This window comes from Homo sapiens, chromosome 10 (genome assembly GCF_000001405.40).
Source record: "Homo sapiens chromosome 10, GRCh38.p14 Primary Assembly".
In the NCBI taxonomy this organism is placed as follows: domain Eukaryota; kingdom Metazoa; phylum Chordata; class Mammalia; order Primates; family Hominidae; genus Homo; species Homo sapiens.
Genome location: NC_000010.11, coordinates 99,173,792 through 99,198,632, shown reverse-complemented (window position 1 = coordinate 99,198,632; position 24,841 = coordinate 99,173,792). Strand labels below are relative to the sequence as shown.

Here is a 24,841-nt window from a genome sequence, read left to right as displayed (position 1 = left end):
CATATTAAGGTTTTAAAGTGTTGTACTATGAGTCTTACCTATAGTTAGGTCATGAGTAGTGATTTGCCATTTCAATAAAATCATGCCATCTGTTATTATTTATGGTATCATAACTCAGTTGTAAGCTCTATAAAAGTGGAGTCCATGTCTTTTATTTCTCCCATACCTTGTGCAATAAAAACGTTGGAGAATCATACAGTAGTTACTGCTTTTGATTTATGCAAAGATGTATTGATTATGAGGAGAGTAAGCTCCTTCAAACTAAATGCTGGAAACTGTTATTTTTGAACATTAACTGTGTACCAGACACTGTCCTAAATATTTAATATAGTTTGTTTCATTTAAACATTTATTAAACCTTGAGAAAAAATTATTATTACTCACATTTTAAAGATGAGGTATCTGAGATTCAGAAACGTGTGAGTTGTGTGAAATGACATAATTAGTAAGATTTGAAACTGGGCCTTTGCTGTTTTTGATTGTTTTTTATTCCTCAAGAAATGTATCTTATTAGCTGGTAATAAATTACTGTGGCCTTGGAAAAAATTCACTTTTTTTTTTTTTTGAGACGGAGTCTTGCTCTGTTGCCCAAGCTGGAGTGTGGCACGATCTTGGCTCACTGCAACCTGTGCTTCCTGGGTTCAAGCAATTCTCTTGCCTCAGCCTCCCGAGTTGCTGGGATTACAGGTGTGCGCCACCACACCTGGCTAATTTTTGTATTTTTAGTAGAGCTGGGGTTTCACCATGTTGGCCATGGTTGGCCAGGCTGGTCTCAAACTCCTGATCTCAGGTGATCCACCTGCTTTGGCCTCCCAAAGTGATGGGATTACCGGTGTGAGCCACTGCGCCTGGCCCATTGTAACCATTTTTAAGTTTACAGTTTAGTAGTGTTATGCTCGGGTGTTACTGAGTCTATGAAAATGATATATTCTCTCTGTCTTGTTTATCTTCATCAGACTCATGTTTTATATTAGTATTTCTATATTACATTTACATGATATTTTACTATTTGCTAAGTGCTTCGCATGTATGTGTCATTTAATCTTCAAAAAACTCTGTCAGGTGGATACTCATTCTTTTCTTAGCAGTATTATTTATTTTGTTTTCTTATTTTTATTTTTAATTTTTGTGTACATAGTTGGTATATATATTATGGGATACATGAGATATTTTGATACAAGCATGCAATGTGAAATAAGCACATAATGGAGAATGGGGTATCCATCCCCTCAAGCATTTATCCTTTGAGTTACAAACAATCCACATACACTCTTGTTATTTTAAAATGTACATTTTATTATTTACTGTAATCACTCTGTTGTGCTAGCCAACAGTAGGTCTTGTTCATTCTTTCTATTTTTTTGTACCCATTAACCATCTTCACCTCCCTGCCAACCCCCCATGACCCTTCCCAGCCTCTGGTAACAATCCTTTTACTATGTCCATGAGTTTAATTGTTTTGACTTTTTAGATCCCACAAATAAGTGAGAACATGCAATGTTTGTCTATCTGTGCCTGGCTTATTTCACTTAACATAATGATTTCTATTTCCATCCATGGTGTTGCAAAGGACTGAATCTCATTCCTTTTTATGGCTGAATAGTACTCCATTGTGTATATATACCACATTTTCTTTATTCACTCATCTGTTGATGGATACTTAGGTTGATTCCAAATCTTAGCTGTTGTAAACAGTGCTGCAACAAACACAAGAGTGCAGATACCTCTTTGATATACTGATTTGCTTTTTTGGGAGGTATATACCCAGTAGTAGGATTGCTGGATAATATGGTAGCTCAATTTTCAGCTTTTTTGAGGAACCTCTAAACTCTTCTCCATAGTGGTCATACTAATCTACATTTGCACCAGCACCAGCAATGTACAAGGATTTCCTTTTCTGCACATCCTTGCCAGCATTTGTTATTGCCTGTCTTTTGGATGTAAGCCATTTTAACTGGGGTGAGATAATATCTCCTTGCAGTTTTGATTTGCATGTTTCTGATGATCAGTGATGTTGAGCACCTTTTCATATGCCTGTTTGCTATTTGTATGTCTTATTTTGAGAAATGTCTGTTGAAATCTTTTGCCCATTTTTTTGATCAGATTATTAAATTTTTTTTCCTATAGAGTTTGTTTGGGCTCCTTATGTATTCTGGTTATTAATCCCTTGTCAGATGCGTAGTTTGTAAATGTTTTCTACCATTCTGTGGGTTGTCTCTTCACTTTGTTGGTTGAATCCTTTGCTGTGCAGAAGCTTTTTAACTTGATGTGATCCAGGGTATTCATTTTCACTTTGGTTACCTGTGTTTGTGGGGTATTACTCAACAATTTTTTGCCCAGACCAATGTCCTAGAGATTTTCTGCAATGTTTCCTTTTAGTAGTTTCATAGTTTGAAGTCTTAGATTTAAGTTTTTAATCCATTTTGATTTGATTTTTGCATACAGTAAGAGATACGGGCCTAGTTTTATTCTTCTGCATATGGATATGCAGTTTTCCCAGCACCATTTATTGAAGAGACTGTCCTTTCCCCAGTGTGTGTTCTTTGTACCTTTGTTGAAAATGAGTTCACTGTAGAGGTATGTTTTTATTTCTGGGTTCTCTATTCTGTCCGTTGATCTATGTGTCTGTTTTTATGCCACTACCATGCTGTTTTGGTTACTATACCTCTGCAGTATAATATGAAGTCAGGTAATGTGATTCCTCCAGTTTTGCTAGGTTTGCTAAGGATAGTTTTGGCTATTCTTGGTCTTTTGTGGTTCCATATAAATTTTAGGATTTTTTTTTTATTTTGGTGAAGAATGTCATTGATATTTTGATAGGGATTGCATTGAATCTGTAGATTGCTATGGGTAGAATGGACATTTTAACAATATTGATTCTTCCAATGCATGAACATGGAATATCTCCATTTTTATGGTGTCCTCTTCAATTCCTTTCATCAATGTTTTATAGTTTTCACTGTAGAGATTGTTTACTTCTTTTGCTAAGCTTATTTCTGGGTGTTTTATTTTATTTCTTGCTACTGTAAGTGGGATTACTTTCTTGATTTCTTTTTCAGATTGTTTGTGTTGGCATATAGAAATGCTATTGATTTTTGTATGTTGATTTCATATCCTGCAACTTTACTCAACTTATCAGTTCTAATAGTTTTTTTTTAATGGAGTCTTTGTTTTTTTCCAAATATAAGATTATATCATGTACAAACAAGGATAATTTGATTTTTTTTTCCAAATTTTGAGGCCCTTTGTTTTTTTCTCGTCTTATTGCTATATCTAGAACTTCCAGTACTATGCTGCGTAGCAGTGGTGTAATTGGGTGCACTTGTCTTGTTCTAGATCTTAGAGGAAAGGCCCATTCAGTATGATACTAGCAGTGGCTCTATTGTATATGGCTTTTATTGTGTTAAGGCATATTCCTTATATACCTAGTTATTTGAGGGTTTTTATCATGAAGGGATGTTGAATTTATCAAATGCTTTTTTAGCATCAGTTGAAATGATCTTTTTTTGTCCTTCTTTTTGTTGACATGATGTATCATACTGATTGATTTGCCTATGTCGAGCCATCCTTGCATCACTGACATAAATCCCACTTGGTCCGAGTGAGTGATCTTTTTAATATGTTGTTTATTTGGCTTGGTTGAATTTTATTGATTCTTGTAACAATGTTCATAAGGGATTTTGGCCTGTAGTTTTCTTTTTTTAATATGTCTGGTTTTGGTATCAAGATAATCCTGGCCTTGTAGAATGAATTTGGAAGTTCTTCCTTCTTCTCTAATTTTTCAGAATAGTTTGAGTAGGTTTGGTAATAGTTCTTCTTTAAATGTTTAATAAAATTCAGCAGTGAAGCCATTGGATCTGGGCTTTTCTTTGCTGGAAGACTTTTTATTAGCATTTGATCTCATTACTTATTATTGGTCTGTTCAGGTTTTGGATTTTTTTCATGGTTCAATCTTGGTGAGTTGTATGTGTTTGTTTCTTTTAGGTTTTCCAGTTTATTGGCATGTAGTTTCTCAGGTAGCCTCTAATTATCTTTTGAATTTCTGCAATATCAGTTGTAATGTCTTCTTTTTCATCTCTGATTGTATTTATTTGGGTTTTTTTTTTAATCTGGCTAAAGATTTGATTTTGTTTGTCTTTTCAGAAAATGAACTCTTTGTTTTATCAATCCTTTGTATTTTTTGTTTCAGTTTCATTGATATCTGCTCTGGTCTTTATTATTTCTTTTTTCTATTGATTTTGGGTTTGGTTTGCTTTTGCTTTTACAGTTCATTAAGATGCATCATTATATTGTTTATCTGAAGTTTTTCTACTTTTTTTGATGTAGGTATTTATTGCTACAGACTTTCTTCTTAGTACTGTTTTTGCTGTGTCCTATAGGTTTTGGTATGTTGTGCTTCCATTTTCATTTATTTAAAGAAATTTTTAAATTTTCTTCTTAGTTTCTTCATTGTGCTGCCAATAAGTTAGGAACATATTGTTTAATTTCCATGTGTTCTATGTTTCAAAATTTCTCTTATTATTAATTTCTAGTTTTATTCTGTTACATTCAGAGAAAATACTTGATATGATTTTAATTTTTTGAACTTTTAAGAGTTGTTTTGTGGCCTTACGTGGTCTGTTTTTGGGAATGACCTATGTACCGAGGATAAGAATATGTATTCTCCAGCTCTTGGATGAAATATTCATTAGATCCATTGGGTCTCTAGTGCAGATTAAATCCAGTATTTCTTTGTTGATTTTCTATCTGGATGATCTGTCCAATGCTGAAAGTGGGGTGTTGAAGTCTCCAGCTACTATTGTATTGGAGTCTATCTCTCTCATTAGCTCTAATAATATTTGCTTTTTATAATATATCAGGTGCTCCAGTGTTAGGTGCCTATATATTTATAATTTTTGTATTCTCTTGCTGAATTGACCCCTTTATTCTTATATGATGACCTTTTTGGTTTCTCTTTGTAGTTTTTATCTTGAAATCTATTCCATGTGATATAAACATAGCTACTCTTGCTCTTCGTTGGTTTCCATTGGCACTGAATACCTTTTACTATCCCTTTATTTTCAGTTTGTGTGTGTCTTTATAGGTGAAGTGTGTTTTTTGTAGGCAGCCGATCACTGGGTCTTGTTTTTTTTTTTCTATCCATTCAGCCACTGTATGTCTTTTGATTGGAAAGTTTAGACTTTTAAATTCAATGTTATTATTGATAACTAAGGACTTACTTCTGCCATTTTGTTATGTGTTTTCTACTTGTCTTGTAGTCTTCTCTTCCTTCTTTCCTTCTTCCTGTCTTCCTTTTAGTGAAGGTGATTTTCTTTGGTAGTATGTTATAGTTTCTCACTTTTTATTTTTTGGTACTTGTATGCTTTTTGATTTGAGGTTACCATGAGACAAATAATACCGTATAACTCATTATTTTAAACTGATGACAGTTTAACACTGATTGTACAAGAAAAGAGAAAACTAATAAAAACTCTACTCTTTCCCCTCTGCTTTTAAACATTTTATTGTTTCTATTCATATCCTATTGTACTGTCTATGTCTTGAAAAGTTGTTGTAGTTATTATTTTTGATAGGTTCATCTTTTAGTCTTTCTATTCAAGATATGAGTAGTTTATATATTACAATTATAGTGGTATAATATTTTGTATTTTTCTGCACACTTACTATTACCAGTGAGTTTTCTACTTTCAGATGTTTTCTTATTGCTCATTAACATCCTTTTTTTTATATATGAAAAACTCCCTTTAGGATTTCTTGTAGGACAGGTCTGGTATTGATGAAAATCCTCAGCATTTGTTTGTCTGAGAAAGTTTTTATTTCTCCTTCATGTCTGAAGGATATTTTTGCTGAATATACTATTCTAGGATAAAGTTTTTTCTTTAGCACTTTAAATATGTAATGCTGCCCAGGCACAGTAGCTCATGCCTACAGTCCCAGCACTTTGGGAAGCTGAGGATCGCTTGAGCCCAGGAGTTTGAGAACAGCTTTGGGAAATGGTGAAACACCATCTATACAAAATAAAAAAAAAATTAGCCAGATATGGTGGCAGATGCCTGTAGTCCCAGCTATTTGGGAGGCTGAGGTGGGAGGATCACAGTAGCCTGGGAGGTTAAGTCTGTGGTGTGCTGTGATTGTGCGACTGCACTCCAGCATAGGTGACACAGTGAGACTCTGTCTAAAAAAAAAGTCATGCTACTCTTTCCTGGCCCATACGATTTCCACTGAGAAGTCCATTGCCAGATGTATTGGAGCTCCTTTGTTACCGGTTTCTTTTCTCTTGCTGCTTTTAGGATCCTTTCTCTAACCTTGACCTTTTGGAGTTTGATTATTTAATGTCTTGAGAGATAGTCTTCTTTGTATTAGATGTGTTTGGTGTTCTATAACCTTCTTGTACTTGAATATTGATTTCTTTTCTAGGTTTGGGATGTTTTCTGATATTATCCCTTTGGATAAACTTTCTACTTCATTCTTTCTACCTCTTCTTTAAGGACAATAGCTCTTAGATTTGTCATTTTGAGGCTATATTCTTGGTCTTATAGGTATGTTTCATTTTAAAAAATTCTTTTTTCTTTTGTCTCCTCTATGTATGTTCAAATACCCCATCTTCAAGCTTACTAATTATTTCTTCTGATTAATTCTATAATTAAAGGATATTGATGCATTTTTCATCTCCAGATTTTCTGCTACTTTTTAATTATTTCAGTTTCTTTGTTAAATTTATCTAATAGGATTCTGAATTCCTTCTTTATGTCATCTTGAATTTCTTGGAGTTTCCTTAGAACAGCTATTTTGAATTTCTGTCTGAAAGGTCACATTTCTCTGCCTCTCCAGGATTGGTCCCTGGTGGCCTATTTAGTTCTTTTGGTGAGGTCATATTTTCCTGGATGTTGTTGATGGTTGTGGATGTTCGTTGGTGTCTGGGCGTTGATGAGTTAGATATTTATTGTAGTCTTCACAGTCTTTTTGTACCCATTCTTCTTGGGAACGCTTTCCACGTATTCAAAGGGATTTGGGTGTTGTGATGTAAGTCTTTGGTCACTGCAGCTATATCTGCATGAGGGGGCACCCCAAGCCAAGTAACAGTGTGGCTCATGCAGTGTCATAGAGGTACTGCCTTGGGAGTCTTGGGTAAGATCCAGGAGAATTCACTGGATTAGGCAGAGACTCTTGTTTCCTTCCCTTACTTTGCCTGCAAACAAATGGAAACAGTCTGTGTCTCTCTGTGCTGAGCTGCCTTGAGATAGGGGAGAGGTGACTTAAGCACCACTATGTTCACCACCCCTGGGACTGCACTGAGTCAGACCTGAAACCAGCATAGCATTGGGTCTCGGTGACAGTTCATGGTCATAAGTGCCTGGCTGCCACCTAAGGGGTCTACAGTCAGCAGTGGTGAAGCCAGCCAGGCTTGTTTCCTTGCATTCAGGGTGGCGAACTACCCCCCAGCCCCAGGTAGGTCCAGAGGTGTTGTCTGGGAGCCAGGGCCTGGAGTTGGGAACCTTAGGAATTTACTTGGTACTCTATTCCACTGCTGCTGAGCTGGCACCCAAACCTCAAGACAAAGTCCTTCCCCTTCTTCTTTCCCCTTTCTTCAAGCAGAGGAGTCTCTCCCTGTGGCCACGACCACCCTAGGCCTGCTGTGAGTACTGCCTGGCTACTGCCAATATTCACTCAAGGCCCAAGAACTCTTCAGTCAGCTTGTGTTGAATGCTGCCAGTCCTGAGTCTCTCCCTTCAGGGCTATGGGCTCCCCTCTGGCCCAGGGCAGGTCCAGACACGCCATCTAGGAGCCAAGGCCTAGAGCTGGGGACTCCCAGGAGCCTGCCTGGTGCTCTGTTCCACTGTGGCTGAGCTGGTACCCAAGCTGATTTTTTTATTTTTATAAAGGTGCTTTTTTTTGTATGGATAGTTGTTCAATTTGGTGTTCCTGCATGGGGATGGGTGGCGGAAGGGCGAACACAATTGCTGGAGGCTTCTATTTGGCCATCTTGCTCTGCCTCCTCCTCTCCATTTTCCATAGAACATGCTTTGAGAAAGTCTGGGCCTGAGAATATTTTGGGAAGTCAAAGTGGTATAGCAGTTAAGGATGCTGGATTTAGAGTCAGACAGACATATATATGAACTCTAACTGTGTGGACGAGTCAGTTAATGTTGCTAGGCCTTAGTTTTTTGTTGTTGTTGTTTTTTAATCTGTAAAACAGAAATAATAAATAGCTAATACTTATTGAGTACTTCAATCTTTACAGAAATTCTATGTAACAGATTCTTTCATTATTTCTGTATTATAGATAGATACGGAAACTAAGGAACAAAGAGATTATGTAACTTCTGCAAGGTCCCTCAGCTTATAAGAGATGAAGTAAAGACATCTAACCCAAGTAGTCTGACTCTAGAATTTGAACTATTAGTTAAAACTCTGTATTACCACTTTGTGTTGTTGTGAAATGACATCATATTATATATGTAAAGTATTAGCACAATGCCCAATGCATAGTAGGTAGTTAACAAATGGTAGTTACTCTGTTCATTTAGATAAGTCACTACATGGTTGCCCCATAAAGTGATTTGTGACAGAAAGGACTCAGTACTGAAAGATGTTAGAAAAAGCCCATAGAGAGAAAGACAGTGGAGATTCATTAACAGAGGTATCCACCTAGGCTAGTTCGCAGAGGGTTGGAGGCCCTGTCTCTGCTTCCAAAGCTGGCCAAAGCAGCCCTTGGGCCCTCTCTGACTAAAGAACAGCAACAACTTGGTATCAGACAGTGTGGTCAATTCATTCCAAGGAAGGGAAGACATTTTAGAAATTTTCAAGGGTTTACTTCTGTCTCAAAATGGACGCATAAGAGATGCACTGTTCCCTTTAGACCCACAGTCAGAGCCCATTCAGAAGATTATATTCTACATGAATAAAACCAAGCAAACAGGCAAACAAAACAACAGAAAAATCCTTGCTTGGTATGGCATTGGTTATCTGTACCCTGCAGCCAAATGCATTCTTTCGGGACACCAACTTTGGAACTTCCTAATTTAGGGTTAAGCTACAGTTTTCATGTGGTTCTGGTGTTATTTTGTGCATGGCTCCCATATACACAAACTTTGCAGTAGAGAGCACTTTATTAGAATTTCAACACAATGACAGAACCGCTTAAGTAAGTTCATGCTTTTTATTGAGGCCCTCTCCTCTCCTCCCAAGGTCAGGGTCTTTTTCTCCTTAATTGTCTACTCTGACATGTGGAAAAGGAGAGAAAGTTAGGTGTTTCTGTCTTTTGGGGAAATGTGGTATCTTCCATTTAAACTTACTCTCATATTGTTTTGCTTTCTTGGCCTGTTTATATAAATACAAGAAGCCAGAAGCCGGTAAAAATAAAAATCATGAAGTTATCCATGAGACATGCAGAAGCAGCCTCCTTGTATGATAAACAAGCTCAGCTGCAGGAAGATCTGTGGTCTGATATTCATTACTGAAAAACTTGCATTGGATGGACAGTTTGTCTGGATGAGTTAATTAATTTTAAGAGTTCTCTGTCTTCTTAGAAATATACCATTCCAGATTGGCTGAAAGCATGTTTATTTTCAACATTCATCAGTAATTCTGGGTCAGCCACTCCACAGTTTGGTTTGCCTTGGTGCCAGCTGCATGTGGCAGAAAAGTTAATTAGATGTCTCTTGTGTTAAAAGAGGAAAAAGTCATGTGGAGGAACAGGACTCTTGCAGAGAAGGGAGTGTAGAATTTCCAATTTTCCTCAGGACTGAGAAGTCATGAGCACACAGACTAGTCCATGAGGAGCTCAGGGAGTTTTTCCAAGGATAGCTTCTCATCTCTGCAAATGAATTTACATTTCGATGTTATAAAAATATTTAAACAAATTATTTCACTTGTCCAAAAGCTCTTTTTCTGTCTCACATTTATCCTGCCTTCCAAGTCCTATTTGAGTCCTACTTTTACTCCCAAACATTCTCTTATTACAGTGGCTTTAAGATTAAGCCTCCTCTTTGAAGTTCTAAAGAACTAGGAGATGATAGCCATGCTTTTTTCCAATATGTTGTATGATTTGCTGTTGTTTCCAGTATATTTAGTAGATATCTCAATTAGATTTAGGCGAGGAATTACCCTGTGAATGGGTAAAACAAGAGATAACCTTTGCAAATGATTTTAAAAGAATTCCTGTTCCTTCTCCTCCTCTTCCCTATCACCTTTAAATTGGTCAACATTATTAGGTAAAATTTGCCAATTTTTAAGTATATAATTTGGTGAGTTTTGATAAATATGTTCATTCATTAGCTACTACCATACTGATATAACATTCCTATTCCTCAAAAAGTTTCTTCTTGCCGCTTTACAGTCAACCCTTCACCCCACTCACCCTAGGAACTACTGATCTGCTTTCTGTCATTATAGTTGGGCTACTTTCACTTAGTGTAATGTTTTGGGGATTCATCAATGTTGTTGCATAGTTTGTTTCTTTTTATTGTAAGTATTATTATGTTGAATGTATATATACACTTGTCCCTCAATATCCATAGGGGATTGGAGGACCCATCGTGGGTATCAAAATCCATGGATGCTCATGTCCTGTAGTTGGCCTTGCAGAAACCATGGATATGAATTTGCTTACTATACAATTTGCTTATCCATTTACCACCTGATGGAAATTTAGGTTGTTTCCAGTTTTGGGTATTATGAATAAAACTGCTATGAAGATTTATATCTTTTCATGGACATGTGTTTCTATCTCTTTGGAGCAAATACCTAGGAGTGGTTTTCATGGATTGTGTAGTAGGTATATGTTTAACTTTTTAAGAAATTGCCAAACTTTTTCCCCAAGTGCTTGGACCATTTTTGCATTCCCACCAGCAATGTGTGAAAGTTAAAGTTGTTCCACATCCTTATCAAAGCTTATTATAGTCAGTCTTTTTAATTTTAGCAGTTCTAGTGAGTATTCAGTAGTATCTTACTACGTTTTCATTTGCATTTCCCTAATGACTAATGATAATGAACATTGTTTTATGTGCTTATTTGGCATTTGTATACTTTGGTGAAATTCCTGTTCACATCCTTTCTTTATCTTTAAATTGAGTTGTTGGTCCTATTATTGAACTGTGTTTTTATATATTCAGAATACCAGTCTTTTGTCAGATATTTGTTTTGTAAATATTTTTCCTTGTATCTGGTTTGCCTTTTCATTTTCTTAAAGTGTCTTTTGAAGAGTAAAAGTTTTAAATTTTGATGAAATGCAATTCATAATTTAAAAAGTAATTTGTGCTTTTTATGTCCTAGAGTTTATAAAATACATTTTAAAATAACCAGTCTTCTTTCAAAAATTATACTGCTTCATGCAAAGTATAAGTACACTTCTCTGTCTTACCTCTTGCTGTTGATGTCATAATTTCACTCCAACATATTCCATACATGAAATTTTTTGTTCCCATCTTTGCTTGAAACATTGTTACCTATTAGGATGATTAACAATAAGAAAAAAAGTGATTTTGATTTTATCTTTGTTTCTTTCTTTTCTGATATTATTCAATTTTCTTTTATATTCAAGTTTTTGAGGCTGGGTGGGGTAGCTCATGCCTATAATCCCAGCACTTTGGGAGGCTGAGGTTTGGGGATTGCTTGAGTCCAGGAGTTCGAGACCAGCCTGGGCAGCATGACAAAACTCCATCTCTACAAAAAATACAAAAAACTAGCTGGGCATGGGAGTGTGTGCTTATAGTTCCAGCTACTAGGGAGACTGAAGTGGGAGGATAGCTTGAGCCAGGGAGGTTGAGGCTGAGGCTGCAGTGAGCCGTGACTGTGTTACTGCACTCCAGCCTGGACAGCAGAATGAGACCCTGTCTCACAAAAAAATGTTTTTGACATATATTCCTTCTGTCTGAAGGCCTTTTCTTTAATATTTTTTAAAGAATAAGCATGCCTCCAGGAATTTAAGTTTGTTTTCTTCATTTTTGAAGGATTTTTTGCATAGTATGGAATTTGAGTTAACATTTTTTTCTTCCAGCACTTTAAAGATGTCAGTCCATTTTCTTCCATAGTTTCTGATGACAAGTCTGCTGTAAATCTTTTTTTTTTTTTTTTTTTTTTTTTTTTTTTGAGATGGAGTCTCACTCTGTCACCTAGGCTGGAGTACACTGGCGTAATCTTGGCTCACTGTAACCTCCGCCTCTCGGGTTCAAACGATTCTTCTACCTCAGCCTCCTGAGTAGCTCGGACTACAGGCACCTGACACCACGCCTGACTAATTTTTGTATTTTTAGTAGAGACAGGGTTTCACCATATTGGCCAGGCTGGTCTCGAACTCCTGACCTTGTGATCTGCCTGCCTTGGCCTCTCAAAGTGCTGGAATTACAGGTGTGAGCCACCATGCCCGGTCTGCAATTCTTATTCTTATTCCTTTATAGGCAATGTATCTTTTTCCTTTGGCTGCTTTCAAGATTTTCTCTTTGTCTGTGGTTTTTAGCAGTTTAATTATGATATGCCTTGTGTGTGTGTGTGTGTGTGTGTGTGTGTGTGTGTGTGTGTGTGTGTGTGGTTATTTATCCTGCTTAGTGTTATCAGTGTTTATTGGATCTGGCCATGGTTTATTGTCTGTCACTAATTTTGGAAATTTCTCAGCCATTATTTCTTTGGCCCTGTTCTTTCTCTCTTTGCCTTTTAGGATTCCAATTATGCATATACCAAGTTTCTCTGCTCTTGAATTCTCTATTCCGTTTTTTTCACTCTTTTTTCCTCTTTGCATTTCATTTAGATAATTTCTATTGATCTATCTTCTCTTGCTTGTATTGTTTCTGACAAAACATCCGCCATCATTCCTCCCTGCCCCACCTCTATTTTTCTTTTCTTTTTCTTTTTCTTTTTTTTTGAGATGGAGTCTCACTCTGTCGCCCAGGCTGGAATGCAGTGGTGCAATCTCGGCTTACTGCAAGCTCCGCCTCCCGGGTTCACGCCATTCTCCTGCCTCAGCCTCCCGAGTAGCTGGGACTAAAGACACCCGCCACTACGCCCGGCTAATTTTTTGTATTTTTAGTAGAGATGGGGTTTCACTGTGTTATCCAGGATGGTCTCAATCTCCTGACCTCGTGATCTGCCCACCTCAGCCTCCCAAAATGCTGGAATTACAGGCATGAGCCACTGCACCTGGCAGCCCCACTTCTATTTTTCAGTACCTGTATGTGCCTTTTTCATTTGGCTAATTTCTTTTCATCTCCAGTTTTTGGCAATTCGGTTATGATGATTATGGTATTGTTTTCTTCTTATCTCTTCTTCTTGGGTGTTCTCTGGGTTTATAGTTTTCATTTAGTTTAGAAGTTTGTGTTATTTTTTATTTTTTTGAGACAGAGTCTTTGCTCTGTCACCCAGGCTGGAGTGCAGTGGTATGAACTTGGCTCATTGCACCCTCTGCCTCCTGGGTTCAAGTGATTCTCCTGCCTCAGCCTCCCTAGTAGCTGGGATTACAAGTGTACGTCATCACACCTGGCTAATTTTTTTTTGTATATTTAGTCGAGACAGGGCTTCACCATGTAGGCCAGGCTGGTCTTGAACTCCTGACCTTAGGTGATCTGCCAGCCTTAGCCTCCCAAAGTGCTGGGATTACAGGTGTGAAGCACTGCACCCAGCCAATTTAGAAGTTTTGACCATTAAGGTTTCAAATACTTTTTTCCTGTCTTCTCCCTTCATTTTTTTGGAGGTACCAATTACTTGTATGTTAGGCCAGTTAATATAAGCTGTTAGCTCAGTGATCCTCTGTTACATCATTTTTTCAGTGTTTCTGTCTCTCTCTCTCTCTCTCTCTCTCTCTCTCTCTCTCTCTCTCTCTATATATATATATATATATATATATATATATATAATTTTGGATAGTTCTGTTGCCACATCTTCAACTCCATTGGTCTTTTCTTCAGCAATGTTTAAGTTACTGTTAATCCAATCTAATATTTTTTCATTTCTGCTATATATTTATTTTTAGAAACTCAACTTGTGTCTTTTATACATTTTATAGTTCTCATTATTACTCTCCTGTTTTCCTCTACCTTCTTGAACATATGTAATATATTTCTTAATGGCCTTCCTCTTAGCTTTTTTTTTTTTTTTTTTTTTTTTTTTTTTTTTTTTTGAGACAGTCTCGCTCTGTTGCCCAGGCTGGAGTGCAATGGCATGATCTCAACTCACTGCAACCTCCACCTCCTGGGTTCAAGCGATTCCACTGCCTCAGCCTCCCGAATAGCTGGGCCCATAGGCATGCACCACCAAGCCTGGCTAATTTTTATGTTTTTAGTAGAGACAGGGTTTCACCATGTTGGTCAGGCTGGTCTCAAACTCCTGACCTCAAATGATCTGCCTGTCTTGGCCTCCCAAAGTGCTGAGATTACAGGTGTGAGCCACCATGCCCGGCTGCTTTTTTCTTATCTTTGCTTACTCTTTCTACCATCTGTGTCATTTTGATATCTGTTTATGTTTATTGATTTTTCTCCTCTTTATGGATCATATTTTCCTGCTTCTTCATATGCCTGGTAATTTTTAATTGGATGTCAGACATTTTGGGTTTTATGTTGTTGGGTGCTAGTTGATTTGATATTCCTTTAAATATTTTTTTTGTTTTTTTCTGGGATGAAGTTAAGTTCCTTGGAGTCAGTTTTTTTGTTTTTTAAGGCTTTCTTCAAAATTTGTTAGAGTGGTAAAAAACAGTTCTTAGTCTATGCTAATTTGGCTTCTCTACTGAGGCTTTCTGAGGCTGTCAGTACCCTTCTGTATTCATACCCTTCTTACTCAGTGCCTTACGTGTTATGAAGTCTTTTCAGTCTGGCTGTCCAAAGTGAACTATTCTGGTCCTATGTGAACTATGGTGATTGCTTCACTTACTTCTTCCTGGTGGTTCTGTTATAGAAACACCAGGGGTTTGGTCTAGGTCCTGCTGCTTGCCGCACAGAAGGCCAATGACTGAGATGACAAGTATTGTCCAGGAAGAAGGCTTTAATTGGGTGCTGCAGTTGAGGAGATGGGAGCTCAGCATCAAATCCATCACCCTGATTGACTAAAATTAGGGGTTTATATAGCAGGGAAGAAATGTAACAATGTGTAAGAAAACAGGAATTAGGGAGGGCCAAGGAGGCATGTAGTGTGGTGATCTTGTGAGTTTCTGTTCTTTGATACTTTTTTGAGAGGCCTGAAGATCCTTTCTTGAGGATAAAACAAATACAAGTTTCCAGCTTTAACAGCAGAAAGGTCAGTTTCCATGTTTATCCAAAAACAACTGTGTACAGGGACTATTGGGGCCATTTATGTTACTTTCCTTGCCTCAGTAGTATCCTTACATATATGCATAGGTCATTACCTAAATACCATCAGGGAACCTCTCTGTGGGTCTCTGGAGCTTTTGCTCTTTGTGAAAATCCGTCTCCTATACTCTGTCCTATAAATTCTAGTTGCCTTGGCCACTCTTAACTCTGAATTGTGTTTCCTTGACTCAGTAAGACTACTGAGCTCTGTTTGGAATCCTCCTGCCTGTACTACAGTCTGAAAACTGTCTGTAGGCATTGAGGTGGGGGTACTCATAGGGCTCACCTTATTTGTTTTTCCTTCCTCAGGGATCACTGTCCTGCACTTTCTGTTTACCTATATCTGAAACTGTTGTTTTATGTATTTTGATTTGTTTTTTAGTTTTTTTTGTGTGTGTGTGTGGTGGCGTGATCTCTGCTCACTGCAAGCTCAGCCTCCCGGGTTCACGCCATTCTCCTGCCTCAGCCTCCCGAGTAGCTGGGACTACAGGCGCCTGCCACCACACCTGGCTAATGTTTTGTATTTTTAGTAGAGACAGGGTTTCACCATGTTGGCCAGGATGGTCTCGATCTCCTGACCTCATGATCTGCCCCCTCAGCCTCCCAAAGTGCTGGATTTACAGGTGTGAGCCACTGTGCCTGGCCTGTTTTTTAGGTTTCCAAGATAGGATGGTTAATCTGGTTCCTGTTATTCCATAATTACTGGATACCAAAAATCATATTATGATTTTAAGTTTCTCAGAATGTCTCCCTGTCCCCAGATATCTCCTGGACTGCCTTTCAGGGTGCTTATAATTCCATCATAAAATAATCATTACTTTGGATCTTTTTATATTTGAATATCTGCTTAGCATACAAAAGTGTCCCATGGGAAAGGAAGCATAACAGTACAAGCAGCTTGCTAAATATTTGTAAGGCATCTAAAGGCATAGAAATGTTATAGAACTGGAAGTCTGGATACCTGGCTTTTAGTCTTGGATCTACCGCAAACAAGGTGTGATCTGGCTAAGTTATTTGACTTTTTTGGGCCCAGTTTTATCACTTGTAAAATAAGGGGGATAAACTAGGTGATTAGTTGGCCTCTGACCTTGTGTACATTGGCAGAATGTAGAAGCCTGGAATTAGAGGATTTGGAGGAGTTGAGGAAAATCGCTAAAAGAGAAGAAGTAAAGAGGTCTCTTTTAAAATTATCCTTAAGCTTAGTACATTAATTTGCTAGGGCTACCATAACAAAATACCACAGACTTGGTGGCTTAAACATCAAACATTTATTAATCACAACAGAAAGTTATTCCTCCCAGTTTTGGAAGATAGAAGACTAAGATTAAGGTGTCAGGAGGTTTAGTTTCTTCTGAGGGCTCTCTCCTTGGCTTGCAGATGGCTCTGCCTTTTCATTGTGGTCTTACGTGGTCTTTCCTCTGTGAGCAAGTGTCCCTGGTGCATCTCTTTGTATATCCTAATCTCCCTCTTCTTTTTTTTTTAAATTATACTTTAAGTTCTGGGATACATGTGCAGAATGTGCAGGTTTGTTACATAGGTATACACGTGCAATGGTGGTTTGCTGCACCCATCAACCTGTCATCTACATTAGGTCTTTCTCCTAACGCTATACCTCTCCTAGCTCCCCACCCCCACAGGTCCCAGTGTGTGATGTTCCCCTCCCTGTGTCCATGTGTTCTCATTGTTCAACTCCCACTTATGAGTGAGAACATGCAGTGTTTGGTTTTCTGTTCCTGTGTGTGTTTGCTGAGAATGATGGTTTCCAGCTTCATCCATTCCCTGCAAAGGACATGAACTCATCCTTTTTTATGGCTGCATAGTATTCCATGCTGTATATGTGCCACATTTTCTTTATCCAGTCTATCATTGATGGGCGTTTTGGTTGGTTCCAAGTCTTTGCTATTGTGGACAGTGCCATAAACATACATGTGCGTGTGTCTTTTTTTTTTTTTTTTTTTTTTTTGAGACGGAGTCTCGCTCTGTCGCCCAGGCTGGAGTGCAGTGGCGGGATCTCGGCTCACTGCAAGCTCCGCCTCCCGGGTTCACGCCATTCTCCTGCCTCAGCCTCCCGAGTAGCTGGGACTACAGGCGCCCGCCACTACGCCCGGCTAATTTTTTGTATTTTTAGTAGAGACGGGGTTTCACCGTTTTAGCCGGGATGGTCTCAATCTCCTGACCTCGTGATCCGCCCGCCTCGGCCTCCCAAAGTGCTGGGATTACAGGCGTGAGCCACCGCGCCCGGCCGCGTGTGTCTTTATAGTAGAATGATTTATAATCCTTTGGGTATATATCCAGTATTAGAATTGCTGGGTTAAATGGTATTTCTGGTTCTAGATCCTTGAAGAATCGTCACACTGTCTTCCACAATGGTTGAACTAATATACACTCCCACCAACAGTGTAAAAGTGTTCCTATTTCTCCACATCCTCTCCAGCATCTGTGTTTTTTTTTTTTTTTTTTTTTTTTTTTTTGAGATGGAGTCTTGCCTTGTTGCCCAGGCTGGAGTGCAGTGGCTCAGTCTTGGCTCACTGCAACTTCTGGCTCCCGGATTCAAGCCATTCTCCTGCCTCAGCCTCCTGAGTAGCTGGAACTACAGATGCCTATCACCACGCCTGGCTAATTTTTTTGTGTGTATTTTAGTAGAGACGGGATTTCACCATGTTGCCCAGGCTGGTCTCGAACTCCTGAGCTCAGGCAATCCACCCACCTCAGCCTCCCATAGGGCTAGGATTACAGGCATGAGCCACCGTGCCTAGCCAGTTTCTTGACTTTTTAATGATCGCCATTCTAACTGGCCTGAGATGGTATCTCATTGTGGTTTTGATTTGCATTTCTCTAATGACCAGTGATAGGAGCTTTTTTTCATATGTTTGTTGGCTGCATAAATGTCTTCTTTTGAGAAGTGTCTGTTCATATCCTTCACCCACTGTTTGATGGGGTTGTTTTTTTCTTGTAAATTTGTTTAAGTTGCTTGTAGATTCTGGAAATTAGCCCTTTGTCAGATGGATAGATTGCAAAAATTTTCTCTCATGCTGTAGGTTGCCTGTTCACTCTGATAATTAGTTTCTTTTGCTGTGCAGAAGCTCTTTAATTAGATCCCATTTGTCAATTTTGGCTTCTGTTGCCATTGCTTTCAGTGTTTCAGTCATGAAGTCTTTGCCCATGCCTATGTCCTGAATGGTATTGCCCAGGTTTTCTTCTAGGGTTTTTATGATTTTAGGTCTTACATTTGAGTCTTTAATCCATCTTGAGTTAATTTTTGTATAAGGTATAAGGAAGGGGTCCAGTTTCAGCTTTCTGCATATGGCTAGCCAGTTTTCCCAACACCATTTATTAAATAGGACATCCTTTCCCCATTTCTTGTTTTTGTCAGGTTTGTCAAAGATCAGATGGTTGTAGATGTGTGGCATTATTTCTGAGGCCTCTGTTCTGTTTCATTGGTATATATATCTGTTTTGATATCAGTACCATGCTGTTTTGGTTACTGTGGCTTTCAGTATAGTTTGAAGTCAAGTAGTGTGATGCCTCCAGCTTTGTTCTTTTTGCTTAGGATTGTCTTGGCTATGTGGGCTCCTTTTTGGTTTCATATGAAGTTTAAAGTTTTTTTTTTTTCTCATTCTGTGAAGAAAGTCAGTGGTAGCTTGATGGGGATAGCAATGAATCTATAAATTACTTTGGGCAGTATGGTCATTTTCACGATATTGATTCTTCCTATCCATAAGCATGGAATGTTTTTCCATTTGTTTGTGTCCTCTCTTATTTCCTTGAGCCGTGGTTTGTAGTTCTTGAAGAGGTCCTTCACATCCCTTGTAAGTTGGATTCCTAGGTATTTTATTCTCTTAGTAGCAATTGTGAATGGAAGTTCACTCATGATTTGGCTCTCTGTTTGTCTGTTATTGGTGTATAGGAATGCTTGTGATTTTTGCACATTGATTTTGTATCCGAGACCTTGCTGAAGTTGCTTATCAGCTTAAGGAAATTTTGCGATGGGGTTTTCTAAATATACAATCATGTCATCTGCAAACAGGGACAATTTGACTTCCTCTTTTCCTATTTGAATACCCTTGATTTCTTTCTTTTGCCTGATTGCCCTAGCGAAAACTTCCAATAGTATGTTGAATAGCAATGGTTAGAGAGGGCATCCTTGTCTTTTGCTGGTTTTCAAAGGGAATACTTCTAGTTTTTGCCCATTCAGTATGATATTGGTTGTGAGTTTGTCATAAGTAGGTCTTATTATTTTGAGATGCATTCGATCAATACCCAGTTTATTGAGAGATTTTAGCATGAAGGGGTGTTGAATTTTGTCGAAGGCTTTTTCTGCATCTATTGAGATAATTATGTGGTTTTTGTCTTTGGTTCTGTTTATGTGATGGATTACGTTTATTGATTTGTGTATGTTGAACCAGCTTTGCATCCCAGGGATGAAGCCAACTTGATCGTGGTGGATAAGTTTTTGGATGTGCTGCTGGATTCGGTTTGCCGGTATTTTATTGAGGATTTTCGCATCGATGTTCATCAGGGATATTGGCCTGAAATTTTCTTTTTTTGTTGTGTCTCTGCCAGGTTTTGGTATCAGAATGATGTTGGGCTCATAAAATGAGTTAGGGAGGATTCCCTCTTTTTCTGTTGTTTGGAATAGTTTCAGAAGGAATGGTACCAGCTCCTCTTTGTACCTCTGTAGAATTTGGCTATGAATTTGTCTGGTCCTGGACTTTTTTTGGTTGGTAGGCTAGTAACTATTACCTCAATTTCAGAACTTGTTATTAGTCTATTCAGGGATTTGACTTCTTCCTGGTTTAATGTTTGGAGGGTGTATGTGTCCAGGAATTTATCCGGTTTTCCTAGATTTTCTAGTTTATTTGCGTAGAGGTGTTTATAGTATTCTCTGATGGTAGTTTGTATTTCTGTGGGATCAGTGGTGATCTCCCCTTTATCACTTTTTGTTGTGTCTATTTGATTCTTCTCTCTTTTCTTCTTTATTAGTCTGGCTAGTGGCCTATCTATTTTGTTAATCTTTTCAAAAAACCAGCTCCTGGACTCATTGATTTTTTTGAAGCATTTTTCGTGTCTCTATCTCCTTCAGTTCTGCTGTGATGTTAGTTATTTCTTGTCTTCTGCTTGCTTTTCAATTTGTTTGCTGTTGTTTCTCTAGTTCTTTTAATTGTGATGTTACAGTGTTGATTTTAGATCTTTCCCACTTTCTCCTGTGGGCATTTAGTGCTATAAATTTCCTCCTAAACACTGCTTTAGCTGTGTCCCAGAGATTCTGGTACTTTGTGTCTGTTCTCATTGGTTTCAAAGAACTTATTTATATCTGCCTTCATTTAGTTATTTACCCAGTAGTCATTCAGGAGCAGGTTGTTCATTTTCCATGTAGTTGTATGGTTTTCAGTGAGTTCTTAATCCTGAGTTCTAATTTGATTGCACCGTGGTCTGAGAGACAGTTTGTTATGATTTTTGTTCTTTTGCATCTGCTGAGGAATGTTTTACTTCCAATTATGTGGTCAATTTTAGAATAAGTGCGATGTGGTGCTGAGAAGAATGTATAATCTGTCGATTTGGGGCGGAGAGTTCTGTAGATGTCTATCAGGTCGCTTGGTCCAGAGCTGAGTTCAAGTCCTGAATATCCTTGTTAATTTTCTGTCTCATTGATCTGTCTAATATTGACAGTGGGGTGTTAAAGTCTCCCACTATTATCATGTGGGAGTCCAAGTCTCTTTACAGGTCTCTAAGAACTTGCTTTATGAATCTGGGTGCTCCTGTATTGGGTGCATATACATTTAGGATAATTAGCTGTTCTTGTTGCATTGATCCCTTTACCATTATATAATGCCCTTCTTTGTCTTTTTTGATGTTTTTTGGTTTAAAGTCTGTTATATGAGATACTAGGATTGCAACCCCTGCTTTTTTTTTGCTTTCCATTTGCTTGGTAAATATTTCTCCATCCATTTATTTTGAGTCTGTGTGTGTCTTTGCACGTGAGCTGGGTCTCCTGAATACAGCACACTGATGGGTCTTGACTCCATGCAGTTTGCCAGTCTGTGTCTTTTAACTGGGGTATTCAGCTCATTTACATTTAAGGTTAATATTGTTATGTGTGAATTTGATCCTGTCATTATGATGTTAGCTGTTTTTTTTTTCCCATTAGTTGATGTAGTTACTTCATAGAGATGATGGTCTTTACAATTTGGTATGTTTTTGCAGTGGCTGATACCGTTTTTTCCTTTCCATATTTAGTGCTTCCTTCAGGAGCTCTCGTAAGGCAAACCTGGTGGTGTGAAAATCTCTGCGCATTTGCTTGTTTGTAAAGGATTTTATTTCTTCTTCACTTCTGCAGCTTAGTTTGGCTGTATATGTAATTCTGGGTTGAAAATTCTTTTCTTTTAGAATGTTGAATATTGGTCCCCACTTTCTTCTGACTTGTAGGGTTTCTGCAGAGAGATACCCTGTTAGTCTGATGGGCTTCCCTTTGTGGATAATCCGACCTTTTTCTCTGGCTGCCCTTTACATTTTTTCCTTCATTTCAACCTTGGTGAATCTGATCATTATGTGTCTTGGGGGTTGCTCTCCTCAAGGAGTATCTTTATGGTGTTCTCTGTATTTCCTCAATTTGAATGTTGTCCTGTCTTGCTAGGTTGAGGAAGTTCTGGATAATATCCTGAAGAGTTTTTTCCAACTTGGCTCCATTCTCCCTGTCACTTTCAGGTACACCAATCAAACTTAGGTTTGGTCTTTACACATAGTCCCATATTTCTTGGAGGCTTTGTTTTTTTCTTTTCATTATTTTTTCTGTAATCTTGCCTTCACACTTTATTTCATTAAGTTGCTCTTCAATCTCTGATATCCTTTCTTCCACTTGATTGATTTGGCTGTTGATAGTTGGGTATGCTTCACGAAGTTCTTGTGTTGTGTTTTTCAGCTCCACCAGGTCATTTATGTCCTTTTCTAAACTGGTTATTCTAGTTAGCAATTCGTCTAACCTTTTTTCAAGGTTCCTAGCTTCCTTGCATTGGGTTAGAACATGCTCCTTTAACTTGGAGGACTTTATTATTACCCACCTTCTGAAGCTTACTTCTGTCAGTTTGTCAAACTCATTCTCCATCCAGTTTTGTTTCCTTGCTGGAGAGGAGTTGTGATGCTTTGGAGGGCAAGAGCCATTCTGGTTTTTGGAATTTTCAGGCTTTTTGTGCTGGTTTTTCCTCACCTTCATGGATTTATCTACCTTTGCTCTTTGATGTTGGTGACCTTCTGATGGGGTTTTTGTGTGGATGTCCTTTTTGTTGATGTTGATGCTATTCCTTTCTGTTTGTTAGTTTTCCTTCTAACAGTGAGGCCCTTCTGCTGCAGGTCTGCTGGAGTTTGCTGGAGGTCCACTCCAGGCCATTTGCCTGGGTGTCACAGCAGAGGCTGCAGAACAGCAAAGATTGCTGCCTGTTTCTTCCTCTGGAAGCTTCATTCCAGGGGGACACCTGCCAGATGCCAGCTGGATCTCTCCTGTATGAGGTGTCTGTTGACCCCTGCTGAAAGGTGTCTCCCAGTCAGGAGGCATGGGGGTCAGGGACCCACTTGAGGAGGCAGTCTGTACCTTAGCATAACTCGAACCCTGTGCTGGGAGATCTGCTCCTCTATTCAGAGCCAGCAGGCAGGAACGTTTAAGTCTGCTGAAGCTGCGCCTGCAGCTGCCCCTTCTCCCAGGTGCTCTGTCACAGGGAGATGGGAGTTTTATCTATAAGCCCCTGACTGGGGCTGCTGCCTTTCTTTCAGAGATTCCCTACCCAGAGAAGAGGAATCTAGAGAGGCAATATGGCTACAGCAGCCTTGCTGAGCTGTGGTGGGCTCCGCCCAGTTGGAACTTCCTAGCTGCTTTGTTTACACTGTGAGGGGAAAACCACCTACTCAAGCCTCAGTAGTGGTGGACACCCCTCTCCCAACAAGGTCGAGCTTCCCAGGTCGACTTCAGACTGCTGTGCTGGCAGCGAGAATTTCAAGCCAGTGGATCTTAGCTTGCTGGGCTCTGTGGGGGTGGGATCCACTGAGCTAGACCACTTGGCTCCCTGGTTTCAGCCCCCTTTCTGGGGGAGTAAACAGTTTTGTCTCGCTGGTGGTCCAGGAACCACTGGAGTATGAAAAAAACAAAAAAACTCCTGCAGCTAGCTTGGTGTCTGCCCAAATGGCCACCCAGTTTTGTGCCTGAAACCCAGGGCCCTGGTGGTATAGGCACCTGAGGGTACCTCCTGGTCTGTGGGTTGTGAAGACCACGGGAAAAGCATAGTATCTGGGCCGGAATGCACTGTTCCTCACGGCACAGTCCCTCACAGCTTCCCTTGGCTAGGGGAGGGAGTTCACCACCCCCTTGCGGTTTCTGGGTGAGGCAACACTCCACCCTGCTTCTGCTCGCCTTCCATGGGCTGCACCCACTGTCTAACCAGTCCCAGTGAGATGAACCGGATACCTCGGTTGGAAATGCAGAAATCACCTGCCTTCTGCGTTGATGTCACTGGGAGCTACAGACTGGAGCTGTTTCTATTCGGTCATCTTCTCTCCCTCTTCTTTTAAATAAACCAGTCAGATTGGCTTAGGGCATACCCTAATGGCTTCTTTTTAATTTAATTAGCTCTTTAAAGGCCCTGTCTCCAAATACAATCATGTTCTCAGGTACCGGGGGTTAGGGCTTCAACGTATGAATTTTAGGTGGATACAATGCATCCTGTAACAGCTAGTAGTTCCATAAGTACAAACTGGACAGGTACCTAATTATTCACTACAAATGCCTGAATTTCTGTGGTTAGACATGTTACCAATCTAGGATTTGAAGTGGCTGATCTCAAGTATTGATACCTTTATTAACTTTGCAGGATAGGGCACAGAATAATGGTCATCACCATAACAGGGAGGCTTGCTCCCATAGTAAGATCATTGTTGACGATACATCTCCTATATGGTTAGCTCTATGATAGGAGCTATAGAAGCTACAGAAGTAGACCCTGTGTTAGTTTTTAAGGAACTTAAATATAGTTGGAGAAATATGACAAAATTTTCTTAAAACTCCAGCAAATCATAAAGGACAATGAATATTATTTATGCCAAGTGCTATGAGAGTTCAGATGTCAGAACTAATAAGGTCTGAAGAAATAAGATAAGGGTTTGTGACAAAGATGGAACTCAAGATGTTCCTTGAAGATTGGATATTTTTGGATAAGCCAAAGAGGACAAAATAAAGGGAATAAAATGTTCACTTTTGTTAGAAAAATTTCATTGTCTAACGAGAGTTTTGTCTTCTGTGACTGGGTCAATTTCAGGGTGTTATTTGTGAAAATGGATATAATTGCTCCTTATCACTAAGGGATGACAATAATTAATATTGTAATTGTGGTTATAACTCTTGTAGTTCTTTTTTTTTTTTTTTTTTTTTTTTTTGAGACAGAGTCTCGCTCTTGTTGCTCAGGCTGGAGTGTAGTGGCGTGATCTTGGCTCACTGCAACCTCTGCCTCACGAGTTCAAGCTATTCTCCTGCCTCAGCCTCCTGAGTAGCTGGGACCACTGGTGTGTGCCACCATGCCTGGCTAATT

At 39.0% G+C, this 24,841-nt stretch overlaps 1 protein-coding gene across 13 annotated transcripts in view, besides 1 other annotated feature; it reads left to right on the top strand.

Annotated features, from left to right (window-relative positions):
- The window catches only part of HPSE2 (heparanase 2 (inactive)), an 858,875-nt gene that overhangs the window by 117,319 nt on the left and 716,715 nt on the right, over positions 1 to 24,841 (top strand). The gene's annotated exons all lie outside the window — the stretch shown is intronic.
- Positions 7,502 to 8,002: an enhancer, noted in NCBI's record as "H3K27ac hESC enhancer chr10:100950388-100950888 (GRCh37/hg19 assembly coordinates)". NCBI's record gives its function as "activates a minimal SCP1, AML or CMV promoter by ChIP-STARR-seq in naive H9 embryonic stem cells {active_cell/tissue: H9 hESC(naive)}" and the evidence as "EXISTENCE:reporter gene assay evidence [ECO:0000049][PMID:30033119]".